Here is a 12473-nt window from a genome sequence, read left to right as displayed (position 1 = left end):
GAGAGTGACATAAGAATGAACTTTCCTTAAGCTCCCGATGCTATGGAACGGAGGCATTTAAAAATATCCTCATTAGCATTTCGATGAAAACAATCAGTGTAGACATGGAAGGAAACAGGGAGATCACCCTGACCAGTGGCTCTCCGTTCTGGCTGCATATTAGAATCATCAGGGGCGTATTTTAAAAATGATCATGTTCAGGCTTGCTCCAAAGATGAAAGTAAATTGGAATCCCTGGGAGCGAGGCCTTGGTATTGGCATTTTAAAAAGCTTCCTACGGCTGGGTGCAGGGACTCATGCCTGTAATACCAGCACTTTGGGAGGCCAAGGCAGGCAGATCATTTGAGCTCAAGAGTTCAAGACCAGCCTGGCCAACATGGTGAAACCCCGTCTCTACTAAAAACACAAAAATTAGCCAAGTGTGGTGGTGCGCGCCTGTAATCCCAGCTACTAGGGAGGCTGAGGCTGGATAATTGCTTAAACCTGGGAGGTGGAGGTTGCAATGAGCTGAGATTGTGCCACTGCACTCCAGCCTGGGCAACGGAGCAAGACCCTATCTCAAAAAAAAAAAAAAAAAAGCTTCCTACATATGTACAGCCAGGGGTGAGATCTACTGCTCTAGGTCCACCCTTACTCATTATGAAGCTTAGAAAACCCAGACCCACAAGGCGAAGTGAAGCACTCAAGGCTGTGCTCTAAAGTAGAGGCAAAGCCCAGCCTGGCTGCTAGTGTCTGGGCACTGTAATGCAACGGGCCTGAACACCTAGTGCTCTAAACATCTGTTTTCATCCATGCTTACTTTTCAGGAACCTTTAAATAGTCTATTAACAGTAACTCTATTATACATTCAGATTGCCTAACATAACTTAAACCAGTGGTCCTTCTGAGATGTCAGAAGCCCATCTTGGTGGGAGGGGGGAAAGCCAGAGTTTCAGGAGTTCAGCTTACCTTGCCCCTTTTCTCCTCCAACAAGAGTATCTCAGTTTTAATCTGTTGAATACATAGGTTTTGCATGTAAGATTTCATGTCAAGAAAAAAGCAAAGGCTGGGTACAGCAGCTCATGTCTGTAATCTCAACATTTTGGGAGGTGGAGGTGGGAGGATAGTTTCAGGCCAGGAGTTTGAGACCAGCCTGAGCAACATAGCAAGACCCTGTTTCTACCAAAAATAAAAAATAAAAAATAAAAAAATAAAAAAAATAAAAGAAAGAAAGAAAGAAAAAAAGGGTTAAAAAGAAGCTTCAAAAAAAAAAAAAAAAAGAAAAAAGAAAAAACCAAATAACAACAAAACCAATTTAAATCTTCCCCCCAGCCCTCAAGGGATATAATGGCTTGAGTTTTTGTTTAGCTATTGTTTTAATTACATCTCCTATCCTGGAAAGAGTATTTAAACACGAGGGAAGGTTAGACACTGAAGTCAATTTTTTTGAGGCTGCTAAATAATTTTGGCTCTGGTTTGGATCTTTTCTTCTTCTGATAACTGACTTGTTGTGTGGCTTTGAGCAACCTCTCTGAGTCTGTTTCTTTCATATGTAAAATAAAGATGTTGTCACTGGGTTGTTGCAGGTATTGCATGAAATGATAAACTTAGTAAAGGATTTAGCACAAAAAGCAAATGTAAAGCACTAAATGTATCCAACACGAAGCATGTGCTCAGAATTTATTAGTTTCATTCCCTTTTCTTACCTTTTAGTTGACAGCAATGGAAAAGTTTCTGTTAAACAGTGATATCAGATTATAGGCTAAATGATTTAGTACCTGGGATATTTTAAGGTTGGCCTTATTTTGAGAATTACTGGGTTTGTTTTGTTTTGTTTTGTTTTGTTTTGAGATGGAGTCTCACTCTGTGTCACCCAGCCTGGAGTGCAGTTGTGCTATCTCAGCTCACTGCAACTTCCTCCTCCCGGGCTCGAGCATTCCTCCCACCTCTGCCTCCCTAGTAGCTGGGACTACAGGCAAGAATTATTGTTTTTGCATAGTACCTTTAAAAAACATAACCTTAGAAGACCCAGTTTTATGTTACTTTGGTGCATCACAATGTTTTCAAAGTACAAAATGCAAAATAATTCAGTTTCAAGATCTTTAATATTTGAGACACTATTCAAGGACCAAGTCCTAATTCCTTCTATATTAATCTGCAACACTTCCCAAGTAACCCAACAAATATAGAGTGGATTAAATCACCTAGAATATACATCTTCTTTTTTAATTAGAGGCACAAAGTTCCTACTTATAGTTATAATAGATTAGGGTGAGCATGCATTTTGGCAACACTCAAAGCAATTTAAAATGATTTAAAAGGCAAAAGAACAAAATTACCAGAGATGAAATATATCAAAGTAATCTAGTTGTTCAATTTTTTATTTAATCAAAGGCCTCAATTTGACTTTTTGCATTAACTTTAAGCAGGTGAAAACTGAACAATTCAGAAGGCCTTGGATGATTTATTCATGTTTTGCCATGTTTATGTATCCAATTTAAATTTAAATTTCATGGTTATTCAGACTACACAATGATAAGAATGGACAAGCAGGTTCACTTTAGGAACTGTTGTGAGTGATTATGCTAACTGCTAAAATAAAGGGATGAAAAATTGTGGAACAATTGCTTGTGAAAATAACCTAAACTAACGTTTAGATCTGCTCTGGTACTCAACTTGCTGCCAAATTTCCATGATGCTACTGACTTAACTGCCTTTGAAGAACTCTGCCAAGAGACTTCTCCTATCTGGAGGAAGAAAACACAGGGAGACCTTTTCCATAAGCTAAGAACAAATCTCAAGTTAACAGGATCCAGATAAAAAGGTAGTAACAGCTGACAAGACTGGTGAACCGTGTGAGCTGTGAGCTTGTACATACACACGAGGGCCATGGCCCCCAGATTCCATCACGTTCAACAGTGAGGCTTGCCCTTCTTTTTCAAGCATCTTGTGCTCATTTTAAACAGATGTCAGACACAATTTTACCACACAGATGGAACCAACCATTTAAACTAACTTATTCTGCCAAGTCTGTTTGGGGAAGGGCTGCGTATCTAGAAATGCACATTTTGTAGTCATATCATGCTTTCAACTTAAATTCCTGCCACCCCTGACTACAGAGCGACAGTTTTTCAATAACCAGTGAGATAGATTAGCAAGACATAGCCTATTATCCTAAGTTTACTAGAAGTGAGAGTTTTTATCAACACACACACACACACACACACACACACACACAGAAAAGTCTTGAAAGATCTTCCGAGAATGCAATTATACAGTAAGTTAATTTCTTATCCACAGAAGTATAGCTGTATTAACAACCCTTCCTTAAGTGGATACACTGGAATGCTGCCTTAGTTATCTCAAACTGCTTTCCTGCAGTATTTTTTGCACTTACTTTTAGTCATTCTTCTCCATCTACCTTCACCCCTACCAAGCCTCTGGCTCCTCCTCCTGCCTTCCTCCCACAGCACTTACACTTTCCTCTTGAACAGCAGTAAAGGCATACAGGTCTGCATCTGACATGCTTGATTTTTCAGGTGTGGCTCTCTAACACAGACCTATAGTTGGAACCAGAAGCTTGATATGGTTTTAGTGAAACTTGTTCTGTGTCACAGATAAGAAAGCTGTATAAAGAACATTAAGATGAACTCAAAGACATAGACATATTCTTACGTGGTTGTGCTGAGGTCTGCCAAAGAAAAACTTTGAAAGATTGCCAAGGAATCTGAACTTAAGTATCAAGAGCCTTTTGTTGACTCAGTTTCGCCTCTGTTCTTTGTTGGTGGTTCGTTAATTGAAATTTCATAAGTCACCCCAGGGAAAATCTGGGGTGCAGAAAGATGAGATAAAGACTAATGATTGTGAGTGAAATATTGGCTGTGCTGTCTCCTCCAGTCACTTCATTTTCTCACCATACTGCCTCTCTTCATTTTCTTCATATTTTTTCTTTTAAGTTTTTGTACATCTCAATCTTTAAAAGTCAAAATTCTGTAACATACATATCTTGAGGAAGTCTCATTCTACTCCTGACTCTGTCTATCCTGCTCCCATCTCCAAAGGCAACTAAAAATGTGAGACCTCTTCATGTTTCTTGAAGTTGGTGCAAACAGTCCAAGATTTCTTAGTTACAGAAGGGATGGGCATGAAGGGATTTTAAAGGGGGCAGCAGGGATTGGTGGGGGCTGCCTTAAGAGAGGAGCTCTTATTCTGTGGGGAGGGAGAGGGACAGAGGTTACAGGTTAGTATGATTCATTGGATTTGAAAAGGAATTTAAGTATAATTGTTGTTTCAGTCATTAAACATTTTACAATTTGTTGATGTCATTTCCTACATTATGAGAAAGCAACTAAAACACACACTGGGTTCAACATAAATGGCTTTATCACATTCAGTGAGGACTGGAAAGATCTTGTGATTCACAAGTTGCCAATTTAAATTGTTATTCACAAGAAAGAAATCTTGGTTTGTAGCTAGTTGGCTGTAAGTCAGGCTAAAGTCCACCTGAAAAAATGTTAATTAATCACATTTTAAAAACATCTTCACTGGATAAAATGTGTGTCCAGAGAAGTTTCTTGTTATGTGGCCTTCATCATGGGGTTGTAAGGTCCACGAGGGCAGGGACCAAGTCTGTTTCACTATGTGGTGTGTATCTAGAACCACACAGTGTGCTCAAAATGCACTAGGTACTTAACAAATAATCACTGAAGGGATGAATGACAGAATCAGATGGAAATAGCCTACTGGAGAGGGTGAGTAAGCATTTATTGCATTCAAGAGCACATTACTGGATCCTCAGGAAAAACAGGAAATGCAGGAAAGAGTTCAATCTCTATTTCCGGAATTTGTAATCTAGATGTAGCATATGAGTTTATTACTTTTAAGTTAAAACAACAAAATTGAGGTAATTATAGCAAAAAGTCCCAGTGAAGAAATTATTTTGGCAGGATGATAAAGAAGGGATGAATGGTAGGGAAGATTCCCGAGAAAGGTCTTCAAGAGCTTTGCTAGTTAGAAAATTACTGAGGAAAGAAGCAGTTACTATCCAAGAAAGGGCACCTCAAAGAAGGTAGAATTTGATCAGTTGGCTTTGATTGTCACAAGGTCTAAACTCTTCAGCTTAAGCTAGAAAATAATTTACAACATGAAATTAGGTTTAGAATTTAGCATTGGTGTAAAAGGCTAAAATATTTTATAGAGTTTCTGATTTTAATAAGGTAATTTTACACCACTATAAAAATATTTTCTAAAATTTTGGGGTGCTTCTTAACACAGTGGCAAGACAGATTCTAGACTACTGTGGTCTAGAAGGAGAAGTTATGAGCTATGTTTATTAAGAAGTGTACAACACAAGGGTCTAAAGTGAACCTAGCATCATGTCTAATAAAATTTATTTTCAAGGATGCAAAATTTGAAGCATATCAAAAAGGAAAAGAAAATCCTAGACCAAGTAGAATGGAAAAGTTGTTAGCACAAATGAAAGGGAGAAACTACCAAGTGTTTGTGTTTGCTTTCTGTGTGTGTGTCTGTGTACATGCACAAGTGTGTTTTCTTGGAGAGTTTTCTTTGAAGTCAAACTTTGAAGTTGGCTCTGTTGTGTGACACATCAACTATCCTTATCCAAAAATACTAATCTTACTGAATCCTTCTTTGCTTCCATTTCACCATCCATCCTTCTTACCTTCAACTTTGCAAACTTACAATGGCCATTTTTTTCCCCAAATGCACAATTGCTCTTAAGTAATGACTTCAGTGTGTCAGGGACAAATGTTTCTGTCTAGCTAGAGTTGTAGAAGCCAAACTAATTTCAGAGAGATTTCATTTTATTTAGTGAAATGTTGATGACTATTCCACTCAGTTCCCTCAATCTCTTTTAATTTAATGGATTTGGATAGAAGATGAAGTTCTAGAAGTACATTACACTCTTCAGGGATGAGATCAGCTTTGCCATGTACTAAGAGTTAAACTTTGCCCTTGTTCTAAGTACGTAATACATAATTCTCATCCCTAAGAAAGTATCTCTTCTATAGGATGTTTCGTGGAAAATAGCTGTGGATTAAAATAAAATAAAAACAGCATCATCAAATAAAAACTGAGCACAGGTATATACTTTTATAATTACTGAAAGGTTACGTATCTTAGGGGAGGACATATCTTTTTGTATTATTAATAGAAGGCTAAGGGGTTAGGCCAGGAACAGTGGCTCACACCCGTAATCCCAGCACTTTGGGAGGCCAAGGGGGTGGATCACCTGAGGTCAAGAGTTCAAGACCAACCTGGCCAACAGGGTGAAACCTCTTCTCTACTTAAAAAAAAAAAAAAAAAATTTGCTGGGTGTGGTGGTTGGTGCCTGTAATCTCAGCTACTCAGGAGGCTGAGGCAGGGAGAATTGGTTGAACCTGGGAGGCAGAGGTTGCAGTGAGCTGAGATCGCACCACTGCACTCCAGCCTGGTCGACAGAGCAAGACTCCGTCTCAAACAAACAAGCAAAAACCAAAAAACAAACCAACAAAAAATCAACAACAACAAAAGAAGGCTAAGAGGTTAAATTAATTTAACAGAATAATTTTTTGAGGGAAGAGAGGATCTGAGAAGAACAAGAAAGTTGAAAATCCTGATCATTGGGACAATATCCACACTTGTTCCATGTTCAAATACTTCCTTTGCATGTGAAAATACTCAAGTTGATTTAACATTGATTTTTTTGGGATCTGGGAAAAGGCAGGAGGAACTAGAAATCAGGCTTAAAGTTTTCAGAAAACAGGGATTCTCAGCTCTAAGCAGCAGTAACAAAAAAGGCCAGAGAAGATTGTTATGAGGGCTTGGGATCAGATATCTAATCTAATTATTAATAGAAATTTGATTTCACATGACCTTTTGTAGAGCTCAGAAAGTTACATTTGGATGATTAATCCTTATGACATCATGATAGGCAAAAAGCGTCAATATTTGGGTTTCCCCCTTCCATGATATGGCCATCCTCCAAGTTATGAAAACATATTCTTAGAATTCAAGACAGATCATGCTAGATTGGAATTGTTCTACCGCTCCAGCCCTTGGAATTCACTTCCCCTCCAATGCCCTCCGACACACACACAACTGTGGAAGGACTGCTCATGCCTGTGTGCTCATCACTGCAGCAGGTGTAAACATCTTGGTCATCACTGTCACCAGGTGAATACAAGGTACAGCAGCAGGCTCATGCCACTGGAGGAAGTGAGACAGCTGAGGGGCTCTGCTGCAACCAATGGTTCCTGTGATTCATGCATGGAAACCATACGGTTAGAATTCTACCAACAAGTTGGCGATAATCAGTGAGGATTTTCTCCCTGGTTTTCAGATGATTTTCATTTTCTATTTGTGAAGCATTAGCTTCATCAACTCCATTCAGTGACTTCAGACTGTGCCTTGATTCCAAACAAGTGAATCACTGTAGAGGATGATGAAACCCTGGGTGACAGATAATCTTTTAATCAGTTTGTTTACCAAGATTGGCTGCTAGTGGCATGTCATGAAGAAATGATACTGAATACGCTACCAGTTATGTTAAAACTGCTATCAAGACAGATTTTTTTAAAAAGCAGCAAGAGATCAAACTTCTAGCAGGCAAAATTCTTAGTTTTTCTTAGCTATTCTTGATTTTTAGTGATGTGGCTTTCCAGGATCCTTGTTGAAAAATAATTCAAGAGAAATTTCTGTGATATACTAATTCTGCTCCTGAAGGAACAAAAGCAATTTTTTTTCATCTCTTTTGGAAATTTGAAAAGGGTAGAGAGTTTTGAATAAAAAGATTGTACAAGAGAGTTTTAAATAAAAAACTATTTGAGAGGGTATAGCATTTTGAAAAAAAGGGAAGAACTTTTGTTCTTCTTACATGGTTAAATATAGCATTAAATTGATAACCATTTAAAAAAAATTTAGTTTATTGGGGGAGGGAAAGGGCAAGGGAAATGTTATTCTTGCTTTCCAGTGTAATTTTTGTGGGAGCAGCAGCTAGTTTTATTCCCATAATGATTTATGAAAAAGAATGGAAAGAGTGATTTATTAACTATTGCAGAAATGTTCATTCATGTGTTCATTCAGTGCAAAATTTTGGCACTTTCGAGCAAAAATGTTAAAATTGAATGTGATCAAATATTGGCTTGAAGTACATGTAAAAATGCATGTAATATGAAAATGTTTAAAGCTATACTCACGTAGTTAAAAATTTTCTCTACAGTTTATAATATTGGCACTACAATATGCATATGGAGTATAAGCTCAGAAAAATGTTGCATTTATTGATGTTGATGTTTCATAATCTACTTTAAAGAAATGGGAGAGACACAAAAGTATTACAAGGATATTTACAGCTGTCCTTGTCTACCACTTTACATGGGAGGCTCTGTTTCAACATGGTGGATCTAAGGATCTTGCTCCACTTAGCATGGTGGGAAATGCTATTTGCCACATGTAATTCTATTTTGCACCCTTTGGCCTAGACCATGAGAGCCAAAAGCCACAATATCTCCAAAAGAGGAAATTATTTTTCCACTATTTATATTTTCTGTGAGACAGCACAGGCAGATGATTTATATAATGCTGTAGAAAATTAATATTAGTTGCAAGCCAGACTCAACTTTCCAGCCTTCAGCATCCATTTGAGAAAGCCAAAGATGTTGTGTCTGAGTTTTAATTTTAATGAGTTAAAAATAAGTGTTCTTTTCTGCTGTTTCCTGAATGAATATAAAAAAATACGAACATTGCCAATCAAGGAACACTACTTTGATTTTGATCCAATAACAATACTAACCAAAAAAGAGTGAAAAAATAAAAAAAGTGTTTTTCAGAGAGAATGGGGCTCCAACAAGACAGTATATGTGCATTTGTTTGCTGTTTAAAACTTCCTTTGATCCACAAATATGCTTCCCTCCTATCCTAAGAAATTTCAAGGAGATAATATTGTCAACATCAATTAAAGTCATCATATGTAAAATCTTCATCTTCTCTTTATAAAATTCAAGCTCTTTCAGGCTTTCCTTTATTAATCTATTTAAAGAAAATGATAATGAACTCTTGGCATATGTTAATCTATTAGTACAACAAATAACCTAAATACTGAAATATATAGAAAATAACTTAAGGAAAATTTTTTTGAAAATATAAAACATACATTACTTGGGTATAGGTTTAAGTATAGAAAAATACTATAAAATCAATGTCCACTTTCTTTTTTCTTATAATACATACCTTGAGAGGAAAAATTTATACTGACTGTGAATCCATTAAAAAGAAAAAGATTTTTTTTTCTTTTCCTTTCTCTCATGGAACAGAGAGAAAGGAAGCCAAAACTGAATAAAACAGTTTATATGTTAATCACAGAAGATACTCAATGCTCACTCTGCTTGGGGAGTCAGCCAGAAGATTCAGAACAAGTTGTTCTCATGATTCTTAACTGTGAAGTATGGTAACGACAGGTCAGTTGGATTTGTAAGCTAGCTGGTTTTAAAAAGATCTTGGCCATTTGTGAAGCCAATATATTTTCCTTTTCTTTCTTAGTCTCATAAGAATGACCTCAAGGAACCTTAACACATCTCCTTCAAATTTGTGCTATTGTTAATCAAAGTTCACTCCAGCAATTATTTTAAAATTAAGTTTTTGACACAATGAAATTTGACCCTGAGTTGGTAGGAAAAGTTGATAAATTGCTTTTTAAACTGATGTGGTGCTACGTTAATTGATTTCTTGTTGTTCTGGAAAACTTCAGCATATTAGTAGCTCTCCACAACATTTTATAAGTGGATCCCTAAGAATTTCATGAAACTGTTTTTTAAAATGTTTTTTAAAAATATTTTTACTGTATCTAAACTGTACAGAAGCCAACGTTCTAGTTAAAGTATTCTGTAATTGTTTCTAGTAAAACAAAAATGAACTATAAACTCTCTATCTTCATGTCACTTATCTGTATAACTTTCCAAATAGATATGTCCTCTTTGGCTGCAATCATAAGTCTCATAATTTAATATTTGACAGAATAAACATGGCCATTCTTGATAGACATGTTGACTGATGGACTGAGAGATATAGATACATGCCATGAGATCTCTTTATGAGGTAAGTCAACTTTTTTTCTGCCTTTTGAAATGCACAAAGATAAACAGATAATACTTCTGGATGTGGTGCAGTCAATTATATCTATCAGAATTGAATTTCAAACTAAGAGTAAGAAACCCTTCAACACTTCCATTGGTATTTCATTAGAGATATTCTGCTGAGCTTTAGATATTTCAAACCAGCGGCTAAGAACGGACTTAACACCTCTAAAGTAGTTAAAATGGAAAATGACCTATTAAGTAAGCAGTAAGTCTTGCTTGTATCTCCGTTATGTTTATCAGTCCAAACTCTGCCCCTCTTCTATAAAGTATAGCTTGAATAAATATTTTTTGATGATGATAATAACTTTAGATACTCCAAATTTAGCATGAAAAGAGTAAATTAAAAACTGCCTGACCTCAAATTTGTAGTGTGAAACAATGCCTATTTCATATTCAAAGCTCAGGAGAAATAGCATGTTAAGTGAAGCATATATATTAGTTTCAATGTTAGAAAAATTGTTTACCTTTTCCCCCTGTACATCATCTTATTAAATATTATCCATGAAAGCCTACATAGAAGGCCCTGTGAGCTCAATGATACAGCTGCGGTTAATACTGAGGTTCAAAGGCTATATGGATGTTAGTCATCTAGGGATATGGTTAAAATAATCACTGGTGGAAAATTAAAAGTGCAAAGGCTAGGAATATGAAGAGTTGTGAGACTGCCAGACTGGAAGACCATCAGACTCAAAAGTCTGGGGACTGGTCATGATTACACAACTCATTGTGAAACTCTCTGTACATTCCCTTGCCGGTCTTTATTATCATAGGAGGAAAAAGAGAAAGGAATCTTCCTCTCCCATATGTTGTAAATGAGATAAATATTTGAGATACTTTAAGATTTCTGAGTGCAAGTTGTTCAATAGTCAAGTTATAATTAACAGAAATATCAAGCACTTTACCATTAAACAAATCCATATTTATTTCCTTGTCTCCTAGCTTTTTCAATTAGATTGAATGTTAAGGCAGAGAAGAAATAAATGTGTCTTTGGCTTCTTAGAGGAAATAGTTAAATTCAAAGTTGTACAAAAATTTTTGTAGGCTTTTGATTTTTCTCTATTTTTTTCTACAAATTAATGCAGAGGTTTTCCTAACCATTACATAAAAACATAACACTTCTATAGCAGTCTATGATGTATTAAATAAGCAATACGTCTTGCTTGTAACTCAGTTATGTTTTTCAGTCCAAATCCTGCTCTTCTAGGAATTACAGCGTGTAATAAATATTATTTGATGATGATGATGTCTTTAAAAGGTATATCATAAAATGAATGGGGAAAGGTGCTAATCTCATCTATGTCAATTACATTATTTTTATTCCTTTTAATAGAATCATCAAGTAATTTGTTTAAAATGTAACACTTCATCCGAGAGGCATAATTGCTTTAACATTGTTGTGATAGTTTTTTGATGAACTATAGGAACACATATAGATGGTTTTTCATGTTAATATGAATGTGATGTATGTAGCAATTGGTTCTATAAAAGGCCGTTTGGAACTGTTTTCTCTTGAACAGCAGTGGTCTTATGGATATCTGCATGACCTCTGCTGAAGTAAAATACTGTGGTTCGTGAGAAGACGTGACCTTTGGATACAGCTGGTCTAGTCCTGGCTCTGCTGTGTCAGTGAAAGTGGAACAGTTACATGGCTCTCCCGAATCTCTGTTTTCACTTGGTTAAATGAGGGTTACATGTACTTACTTCCAGTGTTGTTATGAGAATTAAATGAGATTAAATGTTAAAATTTGTGAGCGGTCAATATATGTACTTCTTTTCTCCCCCTCAGTCTCTTAAGAATATTCTACACCAGTATTGCAGAATAAAGAAAAATGGATATGTTAATTTGTTTGATATAATCATTCCACAATGTATACATATATCAGGTGGGGAGCAGTGGCTCATGCCTGTAATCCCAGCACTTTGGGAGGCCGAGGCAGGCAGATCACTTGAGGCCAGAAGTTCGAGACCAGCCTGTCAACATGGCAAAAACCTGTCTCTACTAAAAAATTTAAAAATTAGCCAGGCATGGTGGCCTGCACTTGTAGTCCCAGCTACTCAGAAGGCTGAGGCAGGAGAACCACTTGAACCCAGGAGACAGAGGTTGCAGTGAGCCAAGATTGCACCACTGCACTCCAGCATGGGTGACAGAGCAAGACTCTGTCTCAAAAAAAAAAAAAACATGGACACAGGAAGGGGAACATCACACACCGGGGCCTGTCGTGGGGTGGGGGGTGGGGGGAGGGATAGCATTTGGAGATATACCTAATGTTAAATGATGAGTTACTGGGTGCAGCACACCAACATGGCACATGTATACATATGTAACTAACGTGCACGTTGTGCACATGTACCCTAAAACTT

At 36.8% G+C, this 12473-nt stretch overlaps 1 protein-coding gene and 1 long non-coding RNA gene across 11 annotated transcripts in view; one reads left to right on the top strand and one right to left on the bottom strand.

The window, feature by feature from the left end:
* Nucleotides 1-11871, top strand: part of LOC105377855 (uncharacterized) — a 54497-nt gene extending 42626 nt beyond the window's left edge. Inside the window, exons 1-3 of one of the 2 annotated variants that reach the window (XR_942688.3) lie at nucleotides 4637-4730; nucleotides 9991-10071; nucleotides 11630-11871. This is a non-coding gene — a long non-coding RNA (uncharacterized LOC105377855). Of the gene's footprint in view, nucleotides 1-4636; nucleotides 4731-9990; nucleotides 10072-11629 lie in introns of those variants that run through there. The other variant, XR_007059641.1, reaches the window with a different exon arrangement.
* KCNQ5 (potassium voltage-gated channel subfamily Q member 5) overlaps nucleotides 1-12473 on the bottom strand; it is a 576790-nt gene that overhangs the window by 241105 nt on the left and 323212 nt on the right. The gene's annotated exons all lie outside the window — the stretch shown is intronic.

Source organism: Homo sapiens, chromosome 6, assembly GCF_000001405.40.
Source record: "Homo sapiens chromosome 6, GRCh38.p14 Primary Assembly".
NCBI lineage: Eukaryota > Metazoa > Chordata > Mammalia > Primates > Hominidae > Homo > Homo sapiens.
The sequence above is the reverse complement of the archived record's forward strand: the minus strand, read 5'-3'. Positions and strand labels throughout refer to the sequence as shown.